This window comes from Homo sapiens, chromosome 15, assembly GCF_000001405.40.
Source record: "Homo sapiens chromosome 15, GRCh38.p14 Primary Assembly".
Taxonomy (NCBI): domain Eukaryota; kingdom Metazoa; phylum Chordata; class Mammalia; order Primates; family Hominidae; genus Homo; species Homo sapiens.
In genome coordinates, this window is record NC_000015.10 from 83984241 (window position 1) to 84011242 (window position 27002).

General features: G+C 40.0%; 1 protein-coding gene across 10 annotated transcripts in view, besides 2 other annotated features; it reads left to right on the forward strand.

The window, feature by feature from the left end:
- The window catches only part of ADAMTSL3 (ADAMTS like 3), a 385720-nt gene that overhangs the window by 330118 nt on the left and 28600 nt on the right, over positions 1–27002 (forward strand). For all 10 annotated transcript variants that reach the window (XM_011521823.3, XM_017022434.2, XM_011521822.3 and 7 more), the window contains 2 exons: positions 4451–4578; positions 6846–6974. In XM_011521823.3, coding sequence (XP_011520125.1) covers positions 4451–4578; positions 6846–6974 — 257 coding nt within the window. The remainder of the gene's footprint in view (positions 1–4450; positions 4579–6845; positions 6975–27002) is intronic.
- Positions 8094–8143: an enhancer, noted in NCBI's record as "active region_9979". NCBI's record gives its function as "activates an Ori minimal core promoter by ATAC-STARR-seq in GM12878 lymphoblastoid cells {active_cell/tissue: GM12878}" and the evidence as "EXISTENCE:reporter gene assay evidence [ECO:0000049][PMID:35858748]".
- Positions 8374–8643: an enhancer, noted in NCBI's record as "active region_9980". NCBI's record gives its function as "activates an Ori minimal core promoter by ATAC-STARR-seq in GM12878 lymphoblastoid cells {active_cell/tissue: GM12878}" and the evidence as "EXISTENCE:reporter gene assay evidence [ECO:0000049][PMID:35858748]".

The following is a 27002-nucleotide window of genomic DNA, read 5'->3' on the forward strand; positions in this document are numbered from 1 at the left end:
CACAAATAACACAGCAGATGTGAAACTGTTTTGCATATCACAAGGTACTTTCAAAATGCAAGTTTTACTTTTATCATGTCCTTTGTGCATTGAGCCTCGTATGTGAAACATCAGAAAAAACTTAGGTAAAATTCAGTTTTTTAAAATAATAAACTATTAGGCTATATCTTAAAAAGGTAGAAAAAATCTAATTTTTGAATTTTTAATGCTAGAACTATGAACACAAGAGTACAATGAAATTTTAGAAGTAGAATAAACCTTAAAACATAGCAGTTCTCAGAGCTTTTGGTTTTAGACTCTTTAAAATTTAAAAATGATTGAGGAGCCTAAAGAGCTTTTGTAAATGTGAGTTGTATCTATTGCTGTTTACCTCACTAGAAATTAAAACCAAGAAACATTGAAAATATCTCCATTAATCTATTTAGAAAAAATAATGGGCCTATAACATGTTCATACAAATAACATATTTTTTGAAAACCCTCCCCCTGCCACCAAAATTACTGATAACAGTGGAATTGCTTTCCATCTTTGCAGATCTCTTTAATGTCTGGTATAATAAAAGAAGACAGCTGGATTCTTTTTCCACATCTGTTGTGAAATGTTGTTTTAGTTAAAGTATATGGAGAAAATAAATGTGTGCTATACAAATGTGTTAGCTGGAAGAGAAAGAATATTTTAATATCTTTTCAGATAATTGTGGATACTCTTTAATTCTACACTAAAACTAGACAAAGGGTCATTTCTCAAAGGTTAGTTGAAATGTGCAATCTGAAACTATATTAATGAAATGTTGGTACTCTGTTTAATGAAATCTGCTGTTTTTTTCTTGCATTTTGAATAGACTTTTTACCCATACAAGATTTTTTAACACCATACATTGGTCATTTGGAAAATATTGGCTCACTGAGTGATACAGGCCTTCCAAATGTTGGTGCATTTCATTATGCAATGTAAAAAAAATACACATTTAAAAAAATCACCGTGTATCTCATAAAAAAAAAAGTCTTTAAGTTTTGGGAAGCTGTCAGACTTACAGTGGTGGATACCAGTTTTCCAAAATTCTAATTTTCACATCAAACCTTTTTCATCATTGGCAACAAATACTGTCAGTTGTGTCATTGAATTGGCCAGCTCATTTAAAAAATATATATATATATATCTACCAAATACCCAACTTTAAATCATAGTGTGGACTTTTTTGTCATAGTTTATTGGTCATTCTTTCAAGTAAAAATCATATTCCATGAAAGAAGCCACCAGTTCTTCAGCATGCAGTGGAAGTGCTTTGTGTGTACTTCCCATTGTGTCGTATGGGATATGAAAAACGTATGGACCCAAGGGTCAAGATTTAGTAAGATTAATACCTTTTACTACTTCATTAAAGACATTTCTTTTTTTTTCTTTTCTTTATTGAGACAGTCTCGCTTTGTCACCCAGGCTGGAGTGCAGTGGTGGCATCTCAGCTTACTGCAACCTCTGCCTCCTCGTTTCAAGTGATTCTCCTGCTTCAGCCTCCCAAGTAACTGGGATTACAGGTGAACACCACCACCCCCAGCTAATTGTATTTTTAGTAGAGATAGGGTTTCACCATGTTGGCCAGGTTGGTCTTGAACTCCTGACCTCAAGTGATCCACCCACCTCGGCCTCCCAAAGTGCTGGGATTACAGGCATGAGTCGCCACGCCTGGCCGTTAAGGACATTCTTAAGGGAAACTGGCATTTTTTTTTTTTCTGCAAGTAAAACATAGTAGTCAAGAATACAGTAATTACTGGTACACTTCAATATCACTGTCTTGGTTCATGCTAAGGTGCCAGCAGTCTTACCAACACTGCCTTTGCACTCTCAGTGCAAAGGTCAATACCGTTTTTAAAAAGGCTAATTAATGGCTTCGTATTATTATAAAACTAGCTTTGACTTCATAGACTTCTGGGGGGTTCATGGACTATGCTTTGAAGACTGCTAACTTGGTTCAATAATCCATTTTATAAATTGTAAGGAAAGAGAGGCTGACAAGGTTGAAGTGATCTGTTGACCTATGGCCATATAAGTACTACAATGATATAGAGGAGCCTGGTCAGTTTAAATAAATATTTATTTGAGTTCATTTTAAATAGATTGACTTGATGGAATGGCGTTAACATAAGTTTATCAGGCTGAGACCCCTGGAGCTTGTATAAAGAAGTTTTGACATGGTACATCCTCCTTAGATGTGTTTCTGCATCCTTTAAAGATCAGCCATTCAAAACAGAAGCAATTTCATATGTCTAATAAAAGGTTTTGTTTTTAATTTTTAAGATAATAAGATCCATTTTCATTTCTATTTTTCCTCCAAAACCTACCCAATTAATTTGTTCAATTTATGTTTAATTCCCTTTACATAACAAATGTTCTCATCTTTAAATATACTTTCTGAATCTTACAAATCTTTTCAGTTGAAGTAATTGAGAAATGGAATTATGTTCCTGAAAGCCTCATTCAATGAGAGAAACTGTGTAGGCATGGAGTACTGTTCGGATGACAATTGAGTAAGAAATCTCAACTAGGAAGAGAAGTTTGTGGGTGTATCAATTAGAGATGGTGCCTATAGAAAGATCAACTTTGTTATTACTTCAAGTTAAGAGTAAGATTACGCAGCAGAGGCCAAGGTCATATGTGTTACAGAATTCAACCTGGTGGTTCTCCAGCCCAAGGACAGATCCAGGCTAGGTACCCAGTGGCCCCACCTGTCATGTAAGGTTCACGCATGCTCAGCTATTTCTGATCTCAATGATTTCTCACTGGACTGTTACCTGAAACCTACAAAACAAAGGCATTATTTGAGAATTCCTAAATCATGCAAACATATATATGAAATAATTTAAGAAAATGATTTAATATGTTTATTTTTCATGTGTAGTCACTGGTTAGACTTTTGCTTTTAACCAACTATTTCTCCTCCATCAGGATTTGACACTGAAAATCTTGCCTTACTAACAGCGAGGTCTGCCATACTCTTGTTGCTCTGAGACACTTTCGCTGTTTTGACTTCTGCCAGCTTTTGTATATTTCTTATGTGTGCTGCAGCAGGGCTTGTATGCTCTTGGTACTATTGCTCTGTGCCATTATTTCATACTATTCTAATCATTCATACATTTAGTCATCAAAGATTTTTGAGAACTTGCTATATAAAAGTCTAAGCAGTGAGTATGCACAGCTGTGAATAAGATTTGGTTCCTGCCCTTGAAAAGATCACAGTCTAGTGGGAAGAAATAGATATTTCATCAAATAAATATATGAACCAGAGAAGAAGGAGCCCAGAGGAGACAGAAGATAACTCTAGGAGTATTGGGGAAAACTTTACAGGGGAAATTACATTTGATCCAGGACTCAGTGGGCGGGTCTGAGTTTGCCAGAAAGGAGGAAGGGCATTTCAAATGAAGTGAACAACATATGCAAAAGCTCACAGTAATGAAAGATCATGGAATGTTCTGGAAACAGTTAAGGTTCATTATGACTGAAGCATAGAGCGAACGACATGAAGTGACAGGAAATAAAGAAGTGGCACAGTTCATTTCATGATGAAACATACAGTATTTAGAGGGCAGAATAGTCCATATTGCTAAGATCTATGAAGTGAGATGGGGCAGGGGAAAAATAGTATATAAACCACTGATCCGGGTGATTTAGAAGCAGATTCAAATTATTAAGAATAAAATAAAATAAAAGAACAAGCACTCTTCCCTTCCTAACAAAGGTTCTTCTCACCTTTAGATATATTTTCTGAATCTCTGAATTATTATCTAATTGGTTAGGCTACACCTGACCAACTCTGATTCTCAAAGCGGTATTTACACACAGGATTTTAGGAATATCAGTAATTGGGAAACCATAATGAACTCATGCAGGTTAGCCCTAATTCTTAACAGCATGGTCCAAATCCAGTGTATGCCACAGACTTAGCATGATGACCTCAATCGACTTCTTCATACAGGAATAATGAGACCATAATCCATTGCAAAGCAGCCTTAGCCAAAGCCCAATCACCTCCAGCATGAAAATCCAAACAGAAAATCCACACCTGCAGTTTGTTAGGAAGGATTCGGGCAGAAAAGGAGTGTTTAACATCCAGCAAATGAATAGGTTTGCTAGGTTGTCTTTTTTTAAAATGTGGCAGATTAAGCATTGAGTTCACCAGAAAAGTCTTTTCTCATGTAAAGTGGGATGGGAAGACTGGATCTCTAAGCACTGTTGAGCTCTAACGTTGCTGTTAACCTATAGCAAGAGGAAACACTCCACCCTCCTGGTCTATATAGTTCTCTGCTTATAGGCAGGATGCTGGACAAAATTATCCTTTGTGAGCTTTGCCAGCCCAAAGCCTGTAATGGTGCAGTCTTCTTTCTCTGCAACTCACTGTAGCCCTAGGTCAGTTAAATTGTTATATGAATGTGTCGTCTTTCTAACTGTTCTACAGAATAATTTTGGATGGAACTGGGAAGATACAGATACAGAATCCTACAAGGAAAGAACAAGGCATATATGAATGTTCTGTAGCTAATCATCTTGGTTCAGATGTGGAAAGTTCTTCTGTGCTGTATGCAGGTAATGCCCACTGTTGAAATCTAGAATGCCTGGTTCTTTATTTTTTATTTTTATTTATTTATTTATTTATTTTTTTTTTTTGAGACAGAGTCTCGCTCTGTCGCCCAGGCTGGAGTGCAGTGGCGTGATCTCGGCTCACTGTAAGCTCCGCCTCCCGGGTTCACGCCATTCTCCAGCCTCAGCCTCCCGAGTAGCTGGGGACTACAGGCGCCCGCCACCACGCCCGGCTAATTTTTTGTATTTTTAGTAGAGACGGGGTTTCACCATGTTAGCCAGGATGGTCTCGATCTCCTGACCTCGTGATCCACCCGCCTTGGCCTCCCAGAGTGCTGGGATTACAGGCGTGAGCCACCGCGCCTGGCTGTTTATTTGTTTTTAACATTAAATTCTAGAGCAGCAGTTCTCATTAGCAGCTGTCAGAATCATCTGGAGTGCTTGTTAAAATACAGATTGCTGGACTCCACCCCTAGAAGTTCTGGCTTAGTAGGTTTGGGTTGGAGTCTGAGAATCAGCATTTTCAACATGTGCCCAGGTTATGCCAATGCTGCCGGTCTGAGGACCACACTGAAAACAGCTGCTCAGGAACTCACTTTCTAAGAATCAGGAAATAATGAGATGGAGTTTAACTGGCAGTGTTGATATTAATGAACTTTGCATTTTTTAAAGTTCCATCAGTCAACAAAAAAGAATAATTATCTTTTATAGATTGCAATTACCTCCCAGTGGCATACCTGCCAATCCTGAGAAACACCTCCAGGAAGTTGTAACTATAAAGTAGTGTGAGTCTTCTTGGGAGGTGGACAATGTCATTTGGATATTAAAATATGCTTTTATTATAAAGAAACATTTTTAATACTTAGTACTGCCATTGTCCAGCTCAGGCACAAAGTATGCTTCCTGAGTGAGTGAATAAATTAATCTGGCAACTAAATATCAAAATCCAAAGAAAATAAACATTTTAAAATGGACGTTTGATTCTTTATGACCTTGTTTGTATTATTTTTGCATGCAAATTTTATACATGTATTTGCTTCGTATTAATTAAACGTTAACTTTGCATTTTTCTTGCAGACAGTTCTGCTCCACTTGTAATAACCTCATATGGTCTCATAAAGTGGGAAGTCAGACATTTTCTCTCTTGAGACTTTCTGCAGTGTAGAGATGTAAATAATGTTTTAAATAGGTCTCCTTGCAATTGATGGTCTTTAAATAGTCTTTTCTATTTTAGATTGAAATGAGTTTATTTAAGTAGGGTCAGACAGGGCCTCTCTGAACCACACATTGGGTGAGGGAACTGCAGTTGGAAGAGATCTTCTAACCCAATCATTTTTTTAATGGGATTCAAACTGAAGTCCAGAGAGGGAAGATTTTGCCCAAGCACACATATAGCTTATTAGAAGAGGCTCAACAAGAATCGTGGCCTCCTACCTGTCTCATCTTTCTCCAGTACAGCTTTGAATGAGCTCTGAACCGTGGTTACATCCTGGCATCCACATGTCAGCCTGGCTGTGGCACCATATTCAGAAAAACTTTATAAGGATTAGGTACCACATTTATATTGAAAATGCCTGTGTACATCTCCTTCTGCACCCCTACACCTTGTGCTTATCGAAAGAGGAGATACTTCTCATCTTGTACCCAGGTATTTCTCATCTTGTACCCAGGTGCAGACCACAGAGTGGACACTTGGTAAATGTTTACATTGGAAAAAACCTCTTATTACGCTGGGCCCAATGAGGGACAACAGAATGGATCAGGACCTTCTGTCCTGTCTTCATCAACCCCCTCCCCCAGTATCTCACATCCCTCCTTCCAGAAAAAGAGTCAGGTAGTCCCAAGCCCCAGTGTGTTTTGGCCCTACATTAATTCATTCATGGCTGCACTGCAGAGACATCATTCCTGCTCTGCCTGTCTTCTTTGCTTCTTATGAGCTTCTGAATTCCTTTTTTTTTCAAATTATCAAAGAGGAATTTATCCTCAATTTTAGTTATAAAACCAAAATATCCTCATAGTCTATACATACTGTTGTTGCAATGTACCTTTGAATTCATCGAACCATCTATCCATTCATCCATCTGTCCGTATGTCCACTGAGCACCTCCAGGTATGTATGTGCACATCCCCACGGTGCACCTTGAGGGATACAGAGAGAACCAGGACTCCACTCCTGCCCTCAAAGGGCTCAACAAAGCTTACCAAATGCAATATGTTTTACCAAAGAGCAAAAGCCTGAACCTAACATAGTTTCCTGCTCCCTTTGAATTAAGAGGCACCTGTCATCTTGTCTGTTGAAAGAAATATCACCAAACCAGAGCACAACCATCTGTCTGTTGTGGTTGGAGGCATCGTGGAGGCAGCCCTTGGAGCAAACGTGACAATCCGATGTCCTGTAAAAGGTAAGTGTGGTCATTTCAGTGGGAGGCCATTTCAGTGGGAGGTAAGTGTGGCCATCCCAGTGTTGCCAGGAAACACCAGCTGGCATTTTGGTATTCGAGACCTCAGCCTGATAGGCTTAAAAAAAAGATTTTCCAGCACACTGACAGTGGATCTAACTCTCAAGGGTGAGGTCATACTGGCTCATGAGACCGATGTATAAAACAGAATGCCAAGTTACTTGTTTCCAGTGTGGACTGTGACTGCCATGCACACTGGAATGTTCATATTGGCAAGACCAGAACACTCTGTCCCTATGGGTAGATCTACAAAAGAGGCCAACTTTTAGTCAGAGGGTTACTTGGTGAATACAAAGTCAGAGGAGGGGATTTGTGGGAAATTGTAAGACATGTCCTCTAGATAGACAAAAGCTACACTTGGCAAAGCCAGATCGGGGAGCTAGAATGTCCCCTGGCCTAGGCTCTCTTCTGGATTGTCCCTGGGTAAGTGTCAGCAGCCTGTTCCTCAGTGGCTCTTTCTCCCGTGTTTACAACTGCAGACAAACCTCCTTTCTAATGTTCACACTCTTTCTTTAACAGAATTGACACTTTCAGTCTGACTTTGCCTTAATCTAGGGCCATCCTGTCTCATTAAGCCATGGATTCTTAAGTCTTCATCTGGGCCCATGCATCTCTGAACTGTAGATAAATATTATATGCTGCATATACATGTACATTTTACAGGGGCCAGGAGAGGTGGGAGTGAGGGGGTTTTGTGAATAGCGTTTTATTGCTTCCTTAGAGAAACTTATGAACTCCTCCAAATTGAGATATACTCTTTTAAGATGACTTTGCGTATGCCTTTGATTTCCCTAGCTTCCAAGTTCTAATTAGATACCTGTAGTTGCAGCCACCTAAGATGAGTCTTGCCTAGGCTGTGACCCTGATTGCCTAGGGTGACAGAGGAGCTTTTGCTGCTGCTCTTAGAAATGCAGTGAGGGTGCATGTAATGAGGGATCCCAGGACACACTTATCCAGCTTTCAGGCTCTCCCTCCACTGTCATGATCAGTTACTTGCCATGTTTCCAAAGCTGCACCTTTGGCTCTACAAACAGTGGAAATTTGCTAACCCCCAAGATATTGTTTTTCACCCCTTGGAAATCCCTGCAGTGTTTGGCCTATGCAGACTTTTGAAAAATTGCTCCAGGCTCCCAACTGACTCCACCCACAAATATGTGAGTTTTCTGGCAAAATACACCCACCATTACAGAAAGGGCCGGCATTCTCTGGCCATAGCAAGGAGAAAAGCAGAACGGAACTCTGCAGATGCCAAGCCACAGATGTCTAAAGTTTCTACAGCCCTATACCTGCAGAGGATTCTGAAAAATAGATCTGACTTCTATTAAGAGAAACCTCAGCTTTCAACATGACTTCTAAATTTTTCACTTCCACAATACTTGAAAATCAGGCTTTCAGGGAGATGAGCCATTAAAAGGATTGGAGTGCATTATTTGCTATCGGAAGTCAAAGACTGGATTGGGTGGAAACTGCAAGTAAAGCCTCCAGCAAAGACCATTAAACTCATCTAGTTTTATTCTCATCCAGGCCCAGTCAGACATGGGCTATCTCTGACCCTCCCCAGCCCCACAGCCCTCCTGCCCTGTGCTGTGGGGCCATGGGTCTGCAGCACTGCTGCCTAGATGGAGCTCAGCACTGGGAGTACTCATCTCTCCCCTTCCTCCCTCACCTTTCAGCTCTTACTAGGAATTGTCCCATTTGGCCTTTCTTTATCTGGCAGTCTTCCCCCATGGACTCAGACCCCAGAACTCCTGATGAGTTCTTTCCTTTTAAAAATAAACCTGCCTCCAAATGCACCACAATCATTTTGAGTTATTTGCCATTTTAAACAAACCTGTAGTGAACTTACAGTGTTTTCTTATGGGCAGAAGCCATACCTAATGGAGTTTTCTAGGGAAATTCATCTTTTTTAAGACAGATGGTGAAGTTGATGAAGGGTCAGAAAACTTGAGTTTTACAGACAGTCTTGTCACTAGCTAGTATGTAACCATAGGTGAGTCATATATCTTTCTTCCCTCATCTCTAAAGCAGGGAATATATTATATTAATAGAAGAAGAGACTGTGGTTATCATCCAATTCAGTTTTTCATCTTATAGATGAGTACATTAAAACATAATTTACAAAATTGAACTCTGCTTTACAAATTACATTTTTATATTGCAAATTGGGATTTCTGTAAATCAGTGGCATATATAATTTTTTTATTTGTTTAGTTGCCTTAGACTATTTCCCACTAATTGTAATGAACTTATTTTTATAGACCCCATAACACATATTCATAGCTTCTAGAGAAGTTCATCTTTTTTTATAGCCAAACATGTTTTGTCAACCCATGTGGTATGGATATCAATAGGGATTATCCCTAGTCATTCTTAGAGATATTTCTTTTAACTATATTGAATAACAGAACCTAAAAGTCCACATATTTGCCTATTTCTAAAGGTTAAAACTTCTAACTTGCGAGAGTTATTTGCCTTGCTCTTTAAAAAAAAGTTTTTTTCTGTCCATTTGGGTGGGGGTAATTTAAAGCGCACCTTTTTTGCCACCTTCTGGTAAGAAAGAAAAGCTCATCTGGGGAAAATCACCAGAAAATATCAGTTGCTGCATGTTTTATTTTCTTTCAGGTTAATGCATAGTAAGAACATTACTTATCCTGTAATTTTCTGTTGTGTATTACATGTTGTTTATGTTATTCCTTAAGCTCATCAGAGATGCAGCTGACGTGAGTCCCTTCTCTAAAGTGTTTTGTTGTGTGTCACGCTCCTCTTTAGTCTGTAAGGAACTCTCTTGGCCCACAGATGGTAATGAGTTTGAGCTAGATGGTGATTCCCAAATGAAGGGCACTGGCAAAGCCATCAATGGCCCAGCCCTAAGCTTAGAAAATTTCTTAAACACAAGGTGCACTGGACAACTGCTTCTTAGAGCAAACTCAAACTGCCTGGAAAGATTAGAGATGCTTCTAAACTAAAACTAAGCTAAAGAATAAAAACATCTTTGAATGCTATTAGAGGACACTGGTGTACATCTCCTTTAGGAGGAAAAATTCTACAACTGTGGATGGCACCTGACATCCCACCAGGCAGCTAGGTACATGTAGGTTATACAAAAGACTCTTAAACAATAAATGCAGAAGCAAATAAATCAAGTTTAACACATTCCCAAATGAATCTAGTCATGTGGATGACTAAAGGAGAGTTTTTCCCAGGAATGCAAATTTTTTAACACTTAAAAATATCTACTTTAAACAGATCATCACAGGTTGAATCCTCTCTGGAAGGATGTTTTTGTTGGTTTGTTTCTGTTTTTTTGTTTTTTCGTTTTTTTTTTTTTTTTTTTTTTTTTTTTGACACAGAACCTCACTCTGTTGCCCAGGTTGGAGGGCAGTGGTGCAATCTCAGCTCACTGCAATCTCTGCCTCCCAGGTTCAAACGATTCTCCTACCTCAGCCTCCCAAATAGCTGGGATTACAGGTACAAGCCACCATGCCTGGCTATTTTTTTTTTTTTTTTTTGCATTTTTAGTAGAGACGGGGGTTTCACCATGTTGCCCAGGCTGGTCTCGAACTCCTGACCTCAAGTAATCCACCCACCTCAGCCTCCCAAAGTGTTGGGATTACAGGCATGAGCCACGGCATCCGGCCCTGGAAGGAGTTTTTGTATAGTATATTAGTTGTCAACATATGTGGAAGGGAGGAAGCAAGCAGGATTAGACAGAGGGCAAAGGAGAACTGTGATGCAGGCCCACAAAGTCTCACCAAGCCCCCTTGAAACATATGTGACTTATTAGAGTTGTCCCAGGCTGACCCACAGTGGCCAGGCCTTCATGCCCCTGCCTCCTGCAGTCACTGGCTGTGGGCCTCTCTGGAAGGGGCATATGTGCTCTTGGGTCGGCGGAGACAGATTGTGAAGGGACTAACAACCAGAGGCTACCAGGAGCAGGGACACTGAGTTCCTCCTTGAAGGTTGATTTGGGTGGAGCATCTCCATCTCTACCACAGAGATTTAAGGAGATAAAATTTAGGATCATCTTAATAGATGTAGACAAAGCATCTGATAAACTTCAACACGAAAATGATATGAAAACCTCTTGGCAAACCAGTAATAGAAGGGATAATCTCTACCTTGATTTGCCTGTCAGAAACCTATTGTAAGCATCATACTCACTTTAATGGTGAGACTCAAACAGTCCCATTAAAGTCAGGAAAAAACATACGATGCCCTTTATCACTATATCTGTTCAACACTGCGTTAGCACTAGCCAGTGCAATAAGATAAAATAAATAGAAAAATTAGAACTAGAAAATTAGAAACCAAGACTAGATAACTAGAAAAATTATACAAAACTAGAAATATAAAAACTAGAAAATAACTACAAAAATTTCTTCTTATTTATAGATAATATAATTATCCCCATTTAAAAGCAAAGAAAATATACAAAGTTTTGGATCTCTACATTCAGAATAATTTCAATAAAAAAAGCAATCCTGTAGGATTGCTAGAACAAACTGATCCTATAATTAATATGAAAGCACATATGGCTGAGAATAGCCCAAACATTTTTTAAGAATAACAAGGTGGGTGAGATTTGCTCTATCAAATATAAAGACTTAGCATAAAGCTTGAGGGCTTACAGCAGTGTAAGAGGGATAGACAAATAAATGGAACAGAATGCGGAGCCCACAGCAGATTCAAGCATACAGTATATGGAAACTAAAATTTAATAGCAGTAGAATTAAAAACCAATAAAGGACAGACTAGTAAGTAAATTGTTATAGGATAATTGTTTATAAATATAAAAAACTCAACCAAAAATAAATTCTAATTGATTTAAGTGCCTAAAATATGAACATATTTTTAAAAATCATAAAATATAAGAGATGTCTTTATGACTTTGGAATGGAAAAGATACAAAAAATACAAGTCATAAAGTAAAACATCTATTGTATAGTGATGATGGGGTTGCACAACTCTGTGAATATATTAGAACTACAGAGTTATACTTTTAAAGGGTGAACTTTTTGGTTTATTAATTATATTTCAATAAGCTGTTATAAAAAACATTGACACACTTTGCTGTTAAGATATAAAAGTTCTGATCCCTGAAAGACATTGTCAATAAATTTAAAAGTCAAGCCACATTTCTGGCAGAAAATATTTGTTATATAGTACCAGAATATAGAAATAGCTTCTCTGAATCAATACAAATAAACCACTCAATATAAAAATGAGCAGTCCGGGCGCGGTGGCTCATGCCTGTAATCCCAGCACTTTGGGAGGCCGAGGCAGGCAGATCATGAGGTCAGGAAATCGAGACCATCCTGGCTAACATGGTGAAACCCTGTCTCTACTAAAAATACAAAAAATTAGCTGGGCGTGGTGGTGGGTGCCTGTAGTCCCAGCTACTTGGGAGGCTGAGGCAGGAGAATGGTGTGAACCCAGGAGGCGGAGGTTGCAGTGAGCAGAGATTGCACCACTGCACTCCAGCCTGGGCAACAGAGCGAGACTCTGCCTCAAAAAAAAAAAAAAAAAAAAAAAAAAAGAGCAAAAGATATGAACAGGCAATTGTCAGAAAGTGAAACCCTAATAGCCAATAATGGCATATGAAAATGTTCTCATTTCCACACTGGTAGGGAAAATGTCCTCACTGCTAAGGAAATTAAAATAGAAGTGAGATTCCATTTCATATCTATTGGGCAAAAGTTGGCACTACCAAGGGTTGGCAAGAGCATGGAGAAATAGGACATCATACACTGCTGGTCACAGTGTATATGTAATGAACCAATTTAGAGAACAATTTTGTAAAATCTGATCAAGTCAAAGATGCTCAAAACCAGACATTTCACTTGTGGATATAGCCCTGTTTTTGCAAAGAGAGTTTCAAGAGTGCATTGTAACATTGTTTGTAAAAGCAGAGAGAGAGAAGGATACATACCAGTGTCAGGATTGTTGGTTCTCCTGGGAGACAAAAGAAGAAAAGTTTGGGGATAGAACTTTAGCTCTAGCTGTAATCCTTTATTGCTTAAAAAAGGTCTGAAGCGGCTGGGCACAGTGGCTCACACCTGTAATCCCAGCACTTTGGGAAGTCGAGGCAGGTGGATCACCTGAGGTCAGAAGTTTGAGACCAGCCTGGCCAATATGATGAAACCCTGTCTCTACTAAAAATACAAAAAATTAGCCAGGTGTGGTGGCACATGCCTGTAATCCCAGCTACTTGGGAGGCTGAGGCAGGAGAATCGCTTGAACCTGGGAGGCAGAGGCTGCAGTGAGCTGAGATTGTGCCATTGCTCTCCAGCCCGGGCAACAAGAATAAGACTCCGTCTCAAAAAACAAAACAAAACAAAACAAAACTGAAGCAAATATAGCAAATATTAATGTCCATTAATTTTTAAGCAAATATAGCAACTATTAATGTCCATTAATTTTGGAGAATGGACTTTTTTTTGACATGTGGTTATCAGTTACATTGTTTTGTTGTTGTTGTTGTTCACCTCCTAGCCCTGTTTCCTGTAAGACCTTGGACCTATCACATAGTTTCCTTGCTCCTTGGTTTTCTGTTATAAAATGAGGAATTATGATGGGATGACCAGGAAGACTGTTTCCAGTCCTGAAATTCTATCTTGGACCATTGGTCCTTTGCAGGAATCTGGGACAAAATAAAAGTAAATGTAGAAAAAGTGCTTGAACTAAGATACCTGGCCAGTCAGGACTTAGAACTGAGTGCCAAGAGTCCTCACCTAGTATTGGGAGGGAATCTAGGAAGAAAAAAAAAAAACAAAAAAACTCTCTCAAAATACGTAGACACAATGTCCTTTACAAAGGAGTTCTTGGAGCTGCAATATCAGCCCATGAAAAATCCAGTTACCTATATGATGACTTGAAAACTATAGTTGTAGTAAAAAGAAAGGAACTAAATAGGCTGACACCTGTAATCCCAGCACTTTGGGAAGCCAAGGTGGGCGGATCACCTGAGGTCAGGGGTTGACCAGCCTGGCCAACATGGTAAAACCGTGTCTCCACTAAAAATACAAAAATTAGCTGGGCATAGTGGTGCATGCCTGTAATCCCAGTTACTCGGGAGGCTGAGGTTCAAGAATTGCTTGAACCCGAGAGGCGGAGGTTGCAGTGAGCCGAGATAGTGCCACTGCACTCCAGCCTGGGCGACAGAGCGAGACTCCATTTCGAAAAAAGGAAAAAAAGAAAGGAATCAAATAATAAAAGAGTCTGTAAATCAATGAAACCAGAATTTGATAAATTTGAAAAAGCCTCTTACTTACGTAAAAGCTAATGTTGAAGGTAAAACAAGTTCACTGGGGGGAAAGTAAGTAGAAAGGGTACTTTGAGGGGATTTGAACAGCCTTAGATGGAAATGACTCAGGTCTTGTTCATGTCCTCATGGCCTCAGAACGCACAGCTCTTTCTAGATGTCTGGATGCCAGCCACAGCCCTGTGTTTCCCAGCCTTGATCAGGCCCCTTCTTGCCTCCAAAAAGGGATGAAGAATAAACAGGGAAAGAGATTTTCCCTGAGATAACTAGATAAGATCTTACTGAAATAAAATCTTGAGAATTAAATATGGAAGGACCTTAGGAATCCATGAGTCCAGCCCTGTTTTGCACACAAGGTCCCCAGAGAAGAGGCTTGACCAAAGTAACAGGCCTAGACAATGGCAAGGCCAAGTTCCGAACCCAGTTACTGCCTCTGAAGCTAGTGCCCTTTCTGTTCTGAATGCTGCTTTTGTGTGTTTTCTTGTCTCATAAAAAGTAACACATCTCATTATAAAATATTTGGAAAGCATAGCAAAGTATCATGAGGCAAAAAAAAATTCCCATAATCCTGTCAAAGACACAACCATTATTTCTATTTTGTTATATTCCTGTAACCCTTTCTCTAAGTCATGGAATTTTCTCATGTTATTAAAAATTCATAAATATCATTTAATAGCCACACCAGTGTATCATTGTGTGAATGTAGCATAAATAAACCCTTCTCTTGTTTTTGGAAACTTAAACCATTTGTACTTCTTTACAGTTCCATACAGCAGTGTAAGAAACCTTCTTATGCATATAACTTTTTGTGTCATTTGGATTATTTTTTTAAAAAAGAGTAACAGGAATGGAATTGTTAGGTCACAGGACATTCAACATTTTTGTAACTAAATAGGGCATTAAAATTAAAATGTCTAGAATTCTAAATACATTATCGCCAAATTGCCAGCTAGGAAGTCTGAATCTACTAGCGGGGTATTTTTAAACCCTACCCGCCCCCTGTCATTGTTGCTGCTCATTGATAGGAGAGAATGAGAAAAGGTAGGTAGAAGTTACAGTTTCCTGATTAATTCCACACGGTGCATGCACAAACAAATGATGGGAAGTGAGCATCTCACTGGGTCAAAGCAGGGCACTTGGTGCTCCAAGAGGTATGTGGAGGCAAGGAGGCCCTTTGATATCTATGGGAGGATGGTCAGTTTCAGAAGAAACATATCACATAAACTTAAAAGGATTTTCTTAATCGGGATTTTTTTTAAGGGATAAAATGCTGTGGAATATACCTAAGAATTTTATTGATGTCTAGGCGAATTATTAACTTTCTTTACTGGGTTTAACAATTACCCTTTCAGGGGAGGATCTTGAGAAAATATTTGTGGTGCAGCAGGATTATGTGGTTAAATTCCTAAACATGGTCTCATTGCTCTGACAATTATTTTCCCCTATCAACTGCTAGTTTATATTATATAGGGTGGAATTTAATGGTAGTGATTCTCATATGTCTTTAAGTCATAAATCCCTTTGGCCAAAAAAAAAAAAGAACTATCTCTCCAGAAAAATGTATTTACCCACCAGTTTTTGCATATACTTTTCAGAAGACTTAAAAAGAAATCTAAGATTATCTGCTTGCTCTTGTTTTATGAACTGGACATTTTGGTGCTTTTGACTATATTCTAAATTACAGTGAATTTATTTCCCCTGATCTGTGGTTTTTGAAATATATCCTCTCTTCTATACTGTTATCTCTTTTTAAAACTCATATACAATCTTTGAAATAGCTAAAATTGTCATTTTGAAATGTATATTTAAAATGTCTTTCCCTACTCAAAAAGGCTCCCCTTCCCCTTTTTTCCTTCCTCTGTCTATGATACAGAAATCTTCCCACTATCCTCTCTTAACCCTATATTCAGTCAAACAGCCAATCATAGATGGTTGGAAATTCCATCCATCTTTTCTTCCCTTCAACAAGCATTCACTAAGCATTTACTAAGCCCAGTCTAGTTCCTTAGCATGCAGAGATGAATACAATCTGGTTTCTGCAGCTATATAGACAAAGGAATTATGATATGATGTCATAATGCAAAAATAGAAGTGTTTGTGAAGTGTATCAGACACATTAAGGAGAGACTAATTAAGGCTTCTAACTAAGGAGTCAGAAAAGGTTTATTAAAAAGATGAATTGCAACCAGCCCACTTGTAACAAAAAGGAAGGGCATTTTAATCAAAGCAGCATATATGCAAAAGCACGGAAACATGAAAGCACCCTGCTTACTTGCAACATCACAAGCAGATCTGTGTGACTTAAAGCAGAGGATGTGAAGGGGAGTGGGAAGAGGTAGGTTTGGAAGTGTAAGTGTGGACCAGAATGTGAAGGGCTTTAATGTCATGCTGAAACCGATGGACTTCATTTTATTGGCAAAGAGGAGACAAGAAACATTTTGAGCAGGGTAATGGTGTGAACCAATCTGTATTTCAAAATGGATGAAAAATTAGAGGAGAAAGAAGCTGCAGAAAGCTGTAAATTGAACGCAACTAAATTGCATCAATGGTCATTGATTGGATTATTGGACCCCAAAAAGCCTGCCAGTCACTCAAGATATTAAGCTGACGTTACATGTATCTGATTTATCCAGGAGTCAGCAGACATATCTGGCATTTAGCAACGGATGCGTCATTAATTGAGGGTGTGGGACACAGGTGTCCCGAGGCTAGGGCTAGGGTGTTGACAAGTAGAGTCATGCATGGAGGGCAGCCATATTGCAAAGAGCTGAGGAGTATGTGCTAATAGGCAGCATGTCAATAAATAACATGTTGGAAAACCATCAAAGCTCATCATCAAAAATAACAATAACTTGAGCTCCTAATGTGTATTGGCTTCAACAGCATACAAAGTGGATATTATATTTGTTTTGCAGATAAGGAAGCAAACTCAGATACACACAGTTACTTGTCTTTGTTTATGTACCTAATGAGTGTGTATACCAAGATTTAAACCCAATCCTGTGTGACTCCAAAGGAGCTAGACAGAGAATGAAACTGTGTTTGAGACAGCAGAATAGGCACCACGCAGGAGGTCTGACCAGAGAGAAGACTGTCAAAGCGAGGTGTGAGGCAGAACCTAGGAAGTGCTGCAGCCTGGTGACAGAGTGTCATTGGCTTAGGGGTGGGCAACAGGCTCAACCTCCAGGGCTCAACCTCACCTGAGGACTGCCCCATGGTATGAGATCCAGGGAGAGTACACTGGGAGCCTGGCCTCTTGCTGGGCCACAAGATGCCAGCCAGTATCAGGCCAAAGGTTGGCCCATTGTGCTCAACCAGGCACATGACCTTGACACATGCTTCTGCCATCACTGCAGCAGTGGGAAAGAATGTGGCAAATTATGCACTGTCTGGTAGTGACTATGGACTCCCTCACCTCACCCTTAATATATTTGCCCCAAATCTCTTTGGACTTGTATTTGGATTATTGATTTAGCAGATTAAAAAGACTCATTTATAAAACAATTATCTGCTCTTTAAAGATTCACTGAAGCTCTATTTTGAGTGCTTCTTGAAAAAATGATTTTCTTTGCATTTTTTATCAATCTCAGTTTCTCATGTGGTGAAAACATGGGCCTGTATACAATCAAGAAGTAGAAAGAAATCTAGAATAAGTTAGCTGGATATGCAATACGAAAAAACAGGAGGGGCTCTTCAAACACCTATCAAATTTCAGACTTCATTGCAAAAAACCTTGTGCTTTGGCTTATGGGTCTACATGTATTGAGTGTCGCCATGTCTTGAAGCATTCAAGTACAGCCTTGATGGTCCAGTCCTATTGTTAACAACACTGCTTTCATCCCCAAAATCTATACCCCATCCCTGTCTTCAGTGCCACCAGTACATTTCTCTGTCCTGAAAACTCCACAGTCACTCAGCCCCATGTTAATGTTTAACCTATCACATGGTAACAACAGACTGACCCAAAAGGCCCCATATATTGTCATCATGTAGTTCCACATTGTGTGCCCACCCATTCCCTATCCTCCAAACAACCATGCACCTTTCTTCCATGCACCATCATTAGACCAATGGGTAAACCAATGGTTTTCAGACTATAGATTCCATGGAGCCTTGTCAAGGACCCAGCCTTCCCCTTCTACCCTACCTGTTCCCCGTCCCCCAACATATAACCCAACCAAAAGACCTCTATGCTTTGCAATTTTATGAATCGGACTTTCTTATAAAAAAAATTTTAAAGAACTTGTTCTGATACTAATGTTTGAAAGTCATGGATTCCTGTGACCATGGCAGATTCCTACTGCCAAAAGAACATATGAACACTCCATAATGATATCTTATTTAAGATTTCAAATAGATTTCACCTCCATAATCTCTCTTTTTTCTTTCTTTTCTTTTCTTTTCTTTTTTTTTTTTTTTTTTTGGCTTAGAGACAGTGCTTCATTCTTGCCCAAGCTGGAGTGCCACTGCAGTGCCATGCAGTGGCATGATCATAGCTCACTGCAGCCTCAAACTCCTGTGCTAAGGCGATCCTCCTGCCTTAGCCCCTTGAGACTACAGCCATGCACCACCACATCTGACTAATTTTTTTTTTTCTTGTAGAGACAGAGGTCTCGCTGTGCTGCCAAGGCTGGTTTAGAACTCCTAGGCTCAAGCAACCCTCCTACCTCAGCCTCCCAAAGTACTGAGATTACAGGTGGGAGCCACGGTGCCTGGCCTCCCACTTTTTCTTGGTTACCATATTTCTGATATTAAGACTCATTTAGCTCCCCTAAGTTTTAACATTAATAAAATGGCCCTGGATCAGTCCTGTTGAGCCTGTGAGATGGTGCACTAAACACCTGTACAATCCACAGGGCAGGAGCCTCGTATCCTCCTCTGCTCTTGGACAGAAGCTCTTTCCTCAGTGATCTTCTGAAGTCCAGGCTTCTAAAGAAATGAGTTGCTTTAATTCCATGAGTCTCTGAGTGGTGCCTCCTGGCTGGCCTGTGTTCCCTTGGCTCCTCGTATTGGTGTCAGAGCAGGAGCCAGAGTGGCTAGTCCGGAGTTTCCCAAACCTGTATGAGATTTGATAGCAATTGGGAAGCTTTTCATACCAGGCAGTAAAAGTGAAGGGTTTTGAATGCCCTATACCACTCAAATCTACTTATACTGTAAGAAATGCCTTTGCTTGCTCTCTGCCCTCCAAGACTCTCTGCTTTTGGTTCTGTGTGCTGAGACCCCCAGGCAGCAGCAGAGAGCACAGGACAAGTGTGCAGCATGGAACAGCATCCATTATAAAACACAGGGAACCGTCAGAAGCCCCTGAATGACCCACTAGTTCATTCCGGCTGCTATGACCTAACTATGCCTTCACAGCAAGACCGAGAGGCCCACAGCACCCACACAGGGTGGGGACTGAGGGAAAGGGAATTTTGTTGGAATTCAACCCCCGGAAATAAGAAAGCATGCAAGCTTCTGAGTACAGTCTGAGAAAACCATGCAGGACCTTGTTAATGGAAGAAAAACACTCCTTTATGGGAAGAGCCCCATAGGACCTGTGTAGAATTTTGGCCTCTCTAGTAACATCCCAACTTATATAACCCTGTTTTTTTTCTTTTCATTCATTTATTTCCCCTAGTTATTAATTCAATACCCAGTTATTCATTTTGATGACTGACACATACTACAGTCAGGTCATTTTATTATTTTGGTTAATGTCAGTTCAGGCCTGGACACCACAACATCTCCCCAGCCCTGCCCTGAGAGATTCTGATTTAATTCATCGGCAGTATGTCCTGAGAACCAAGGATTTTTAAAGCTTCGCCAGAAGATTCTAATGTGCAGCCAAGGTTAAGAACCACTGATTTAGCCAGTAAATGGGGCCAAAGAGGTCCCTGGAAATTATCTCAAATATCCTCTCAAAATGAGAGACTCTTCCTCAGGAATTAGTGGGTAACCAGAGGTCAACTAGAACCAGGAGTAAACCAGGAGTAAACCAGGAGTGAACCAGGAGTGAGTAATCAGGAGTAAACTAGAATTAACCAGGAGTGAGTAAACAGGAGTAAACTCAAATTAGGAGTGAACCAGGAGTGGGTAACTGGGAGTGAACTAAAAGCGGGGGCTAAATGGTAGAACCCAGCTCCATGCTCTGGGCTCATTCTGAAGGTAGAATCAGGCATGCCAACAATTGATGCCTCAGTGTTCAAAGGTTCACACAGGAGAAATCAGCTGTCAATGTCCAAGAGGATCAAGGAAGTGATTTTGAGATGCGTCTTTAAGAATGAGGAGAAATGTTCCAGGTGGTGAAAGGGAATAGCAAATGATCTGCAATGGCGAGAACAGCACATAGAACAGCTTTACAGCCAGTGTGGTGTGTTTGGAGAACAGTGCAGTTCCCGGGCTGGAGGATAGCTGTTCTTAGCAGTGACTCCCCTAAATTGAAAAGGCTTTTGTGCTTTTCTCCTCCAAGAACAGGAAAGGCTATAGAGCTAAGAAAACTGACTCTTACTCCCTACCATTCCTGAGGAGAAAAGACCCCCCAGAAATAGAGTGAGAGGTGCAGCTCAGAAGAACCAAAGGCAAGAGTTAGTGGTTTAAGGAAAGAGGAAATGGAGTCCTGGGGAATCAACACGGCCTTGAGATGTCACCCCAAGACACCAGCAGCCCACACATAGTCCTCTGGGGTTTTGCTGGTGATAGCAGTGGAATCCACTTGGAGATTTTGGTGCATGATCTCCAAATAACTAATATTTTTAACTGGCTAATAGCTATTTGTTCATCTATATCCCAATGTTATCTTGATAGATTACCAGAATTGCTGATTATCAGGAAGGGCCTCAGGAATGTCCATGGTTCTCCCTTTGAGCTGCTGTTTAGGAGTTCCTCCTATCCCCTTTACTGGAATCAGTAGTTTACACCACTTGCATAGCTCCAGCATGTATCGCTATGCTTGATTTGCACCAACTCTTGACTTTCTTCTTCAAGGAACTACTGAAGGTTTTTGGTTTTGATATAATAATTTTCACTGGCACTTTCTAGCCTATAAATAAGACTCTGGAGGACAATATCCAGCAGTGAACTGTGTGGTGCTCATGAGATATGTCTGGTGGCGTTAAAGAACTGCCCAGGCTCGCGCAAAGCAGAAGCCCAGGGTACGTGAGAGATGAGAATGACCACACCAGGAAGAGGACTTGTTGACACTCTTCTCCATGTCAGAAGAAACACAGTTCAAAACCTTTAGGGAAGGACTTTTAATGATGGAGTTGGGAATAGATACTATGACCCAGATGATTTCTAAATCCTCAGAAATCAAATTGATTGGGGAACAGATTATGTCAATCTAAACATGAGTTTACTAGAGAAAAGAAAGTACTTAAACAGCTATTCAAGAGAATTCTGTAAATAGTAAAAGCCAGAGCCCTCTATTTGGAGACAGTTCTGGATATGGCATCAATGATGGATAGTCCATTGTATCCAAAAAGCATACATAACGTATTTTTCAAAAAGAACAAAAGGGTATGCAGTTAACTCAGAAGAGGAACGTTCCTTACAAAATTTACTCTGCTGCACAGATTGGCCCTGCAGTTAAGAAGAGTGCATTCATTATTCTAGTAGCTTTGAGATACTTTCTCTGACACTGAACCCTTGAACTCTTATTTCTTTCTTTCATTTATTAGTGATGACTCCCTTTGTCTATCCTGTGTTTGATTTGCCTTTTATAAATTGGCAACATCATTTCTTCATGATTCCCCAGAGATAACTGATGGTAGCTTAAATCTTCATTTGTCGTATATGAAAAAGTAATGCAGAATTCTGAGTGAGTTTTGAGTAGCTGGAAGAAACAAACATGAGAAAAAAATATAGGTATAATATATATTTATTTAAAGATCCAGCATTTCAGGGCAGTCTGAACAGGCCAGGGATTTATAGTGTGGAATATTTCATGGGCCTTTCAAGGATGAAGGAAATTTGTTTTTAAACACTGACTAGTTTAAAGACACCCCCGAGGTGCAAACTTTTTGCAACACATGTTTCACAGCCCCTCCGGCTCTGAACTTTTTTCCACAACATTTGTCTTCCAAAACAATTTCAGCATTGTGGAAACAGAATGTTGAATATATCAGAGCTGCAAGTCTTGGGGGAAATAGCCTGTCTTTAAGGTTAGATAAATAAGTTTAAACTATTTCTGACGTTTTATAGCTGTTGCAACAGAGCAAATGTGTTATTTTGAAACACCATAAAGAGCAGTGGTGCGAAGAAATCTGTCTGAATTTCCTCTGGCCTGTTCAGTTCTTTGAAAATGTTTACACGTGTAACGATGCTTCTAGGTGCTGAACAGACCTGTGGGGTAGGAGAGGGAGTTGGAGTTCACTATGGGACTTACGGAGTTTGAGGTGCCTGTGGGACATGTTGTGCCAATGGGAGATGTCCAGGAGTCTTGAATTCAAGGGAGAGATTAAGACTGGATAGGTAGATGTGGGAGTTTTCAGCATAGGAATTATCACTATATTTCCCAAAGTAGATGAAATGGCCCCTGGGACAGTGTGTAGTGTGAAGGAAGGACTTGGTCCTGTACTCTGGTGTGGTCCTGTGCTCTTCATTTCAAACTTCCTATTTCTGACATTTTCTTTTGGAATGTAACTTTGTCAGTTTGTTCTGAGAAGCTTGCGCTGGCATGGCTGTTTGGCCATCTTGGTTGTTTTCATACCTTAGTTTTTAGTCTAGACTCCCATGGTCACGTGGAACAGAGAACCACCTCGAACTGGCTTAAGAAAAAATGGAGGAACTATTGGCTAATAAAACCGAAAAGTTCTGGAGTGTAGACACTCTGGACATAATTTTAGATACATCTGGATTCAGGAACTTAAATGATTTAGTCAAGAATCCACCCCTTAGCCAGGCACAATGATGCATACCTATAGTTCCAGCTATTCAGGAGGCTGAGATGGGAGGATCCCTGGAGCCCAGAAGTTTGAAGCTTCCGTATGCTATGATCATGCCTGTGCATAGCCACTGCACTCCAGCCCAGTGAGACCCCATCACTAAAAAAATAAAAATCCATCTCTCTCTGGCTCTGTTTTTTTTCTGTGTTTTGAGGTGGTTGGTGGGCAAGGGTTGAGGGAAGACCATGTATGTTAGCAGATCATAAAACATCATAAGCAGTTTATTTTTTGTTCTAAGTGAGATGGAAGCCATTAGAGGATTCTAAGCAAAGGAGTGTCATGATCTGAGCTACCTTTTAGAAGAAATACTATGGCTATTGTGTTGAAAATAGACTGTAAAAAATCAGAGAGTAAAAGGAAGGCAAGGGTGGAAATAGGGAGATGAGATAAGTATTCCAGGTGAGCAAAGCCATCCCTAAATTCCCTGCCCTGGACTCCACTTCCCTCTCCAGCTATTGCCTTAGTTCTTGATTTCCATTTATAGCAAAGTGCCTCAAGAGTAGTTTATACTTGCTGTCTTCAATTTCATTTCTCTTCATTCTCTCTTGAATCCACTCCAACCAAACATTCTCCATACCATTACCTTCATAGCTATTGTCAAGGTCACCAACAGCTTACCATGTAAGTGTGAATTGCTAACTTCAGTTGTCAGGTTTGTTTGTTTGTTTTTTGAGACAGATTCTCACTCTGTTGCCCAGGCTGGAGTGCAGTGGTGTGATCTTGGCTCACTGCAACCTCTACCTCCTGGGTTCAAGCAATTCTCCTGCCTCAGCCTCCCGAGAAGCTGGGATTACAGGCTAAATGTTTTTTGTATTTTTAGTAGAGACAGGGTTTCACCATGTTGCCCAGGCTGGCCTCGAACTCCTGACCGCAGGTGATCTGCCCACCTCGGCCTCCCACAATGCTGAGATTACAGGTGTGAGCCACCACACCAGGCCCCGTGGTGAGTTCTTAGGCCTTACCTTACTTGCTCGTTTGACTACACTAGCATTGGACAGTTGCTACGCCCTCCTTCTCTGCTTTGAGGAAACCACTTTGTTTTCTACCTACCATAGTATCTGTTCCTGTGTAGCCTCCTTTGTCCCACCTCTTGTCCCTGATCTCTAAGTTGAACTACCCGAGGCCTCAGTCCTCAGACGTTTTCTCTTCTCTATATATACTCTCTCCCTATTGGTCCCATACCTGCAGAAGGACTCAAATATGACATCTGTATGCTGGAAACTGTTAAATTTATATTTTCAGCACAGACCTTTCCCCTAAGCTCTAGATTAACATGTCCACATGCCTGCTCAGCATCTCTCCGTGGATATGTAATAGTTATTTCAAACTTAACATGTCCAAAACTGCTCTCCTGAGTTCTGCTCCCAAACTTACTTCTCTCATAGTGTCCCTCATCTCAGTGAATGACAAGGCAGTTATTTAATTTGCTTGAGCCACAAATCCTGGAGTCGGTTTTTACTCGCTTTCCTCTCTCACACTACCCCACCCCCATCAAATTTTGTCTGCTCTACCTTCAGAATAGGCCCAGAATCTGACCGTCTCTTACCACGTTCATTGCCACTACACTGGTCCAAGTCACCGTCATCTCTAGGCTGGATTATCTTGACAGGTTCCTCACTGGTCTCCCTGCCTCTGCCCTTGCCCCCTGCAATCAACATAGCTGTCAAAGCAGTCCTTTAGAAACACAAGTCAGCTCATGCCATTCTTCAAAATCTTTGGAATAGAAACCAAAGCCTTACGATGACCTATCAGGCTATGACCTGAGCCCCACCTGCCACTTCTCTGACCTTGTCACCTACTGCTCTTTTCCTGGCTCACATCCCTGCAGCCACATGCTCTTTTACTTTCCTCCAAAATTGGAGGAATGTGTCCTGGACCAGTCTGATGAAGCCTATGGTACTACTTCTGAAATAATATTTTCAAAGGTATAAAATAAAATATACTGCATTTAAAGAAAACCAATTATAATAAAAATATAGGTATCAAAATATTAATAAACCAAATGTGTGATCGAATAATATATGTACTTCATTACTAATGCATCAAATTCAAAATCTAGCATTGGGTCCAATAGTTACCATATTTTTGAAGTAGTGTTGGCATAAAAAATATTTTGAGAGAGCTGGTCACACTTGTAATGTGATACGAAAATATCTGTGACTTCCATTGGTGAGAGAGTTAAAGATACTACTACCTTGGTCTGTGCTTACATTCATAATTGATAGAAGTGCTACATTTCAACTAGAGTTGGTGAAAAGGTCACCGACTCCTGAATCCTATCTGTGGACCCACGTGAGTCTCATGGTCCCCGGGTTGAGGACCCCGTTTCAGGGCCAAGGTACTTGCTGTTCCCTCTGCCGGAAATGCTCTCCCTGGAGATCTCCACACAGCTTGTTTAGCCTGGCTGAAGGCCTCTGGTAAACCTTGTTTCAATGTAGAATTGACAGCACCGCTTACCAGCTTCTTACCGTGGAGGAATAATGAATAAGCCAATGTATCTGAGATTGTTTAGGGTCTTTCACTGTAAGAGGCTTTATGTCTTGAGAAAACCTCACTAATTTGGACTGATTGTAAGAGGCAAGTCTGAATTAATAAACATCCCTGAATTGTAAAATGCTTTCAAGTCTATGAATTGCTTTTAGAAATGTTCAGTCATTTAAGCGAGAATTGCTTAGGGTCTTAAAGGCAACCACTTTAATTTATAAATGTCGATTTATACTCACATAACAATTGTGTATATGTTGTGGAGGCCAGTGAAGTATTTGAAGGAATTTCTGAAATGATTTGCACTTTTGCCCTCAAATATGTAAGGAGATTTTTTTCTCTTCCTAGCTAGTATAGCCCTTCTCTAAATTACCATAGATTCCAAAATAATAGTGTCTGAGTTTATGAGGATTTTACTATACAGTCAGTGCTTTATTATCTTTGCTGCTTGGAAGAGAGCATTGGTATGAATAACCAAAAAAGTCACGCTGATGTATCTTTGGGATAGAATATGGTTTTCTTCTAGTAAATGCATTCCCTAGTTTATTCATTTATGCATTCAGCAAACATTCACACATCTAATCTTTGCCAGGCCTATACTCATGATCTGCTGTGGAGAACTGAGATTAATGCAGTAATAATGCTATAAAAGAATTCTGGTCATAGAGAGTGAATAATGAGAGTGAATTAAATAATATATGAAAGAATAGATGGATGAATGAATGAATTGATCTCACACATATCTTAGAGCTAAAAGGGACCCCAAGAGAAAATTTAACAAGAAGTTAAATCAAAGTTGTTTCTGAGCTCCATTATTAACTTTTTAAAAGTTGGGGATAGGTGATCCAGGTAATACATTCAATCAAAAAACAAGGCACTATACCATGAAAAGTCTGGCTCCTGCTCCTGTTCCCATGCTTTCCTACATCTGCACTCTATGTTCCTCCTTGCAGGTATCTTCCCTTTCTCTCCAGTCTACATGAGGTACAGCTTCTGTGCTCCAGTGGCATCCAGTATTTTACCTTTATTGCACGCTCTTATCTCTTTGAATTGCAGCTGGCTGTTTTGATGCATGGGCCCACTCTAGATTAAGGTCCGTGAGGAACTTAGTTTACCATTATATCCTTAGCATTGCCACAGAGTCTTACATAGAGTAGGCACTCCATAAACATTTTTCAAGTGAATGAAATAATGGCAATAGTTGTATTGCATTTCAAAACATAAGATATGTAGCCAAAGCTGTACTCAGAATAAAATTAACAGCTTTAAATGATTTACTTTAAAATAAGCAAATTAAATGTT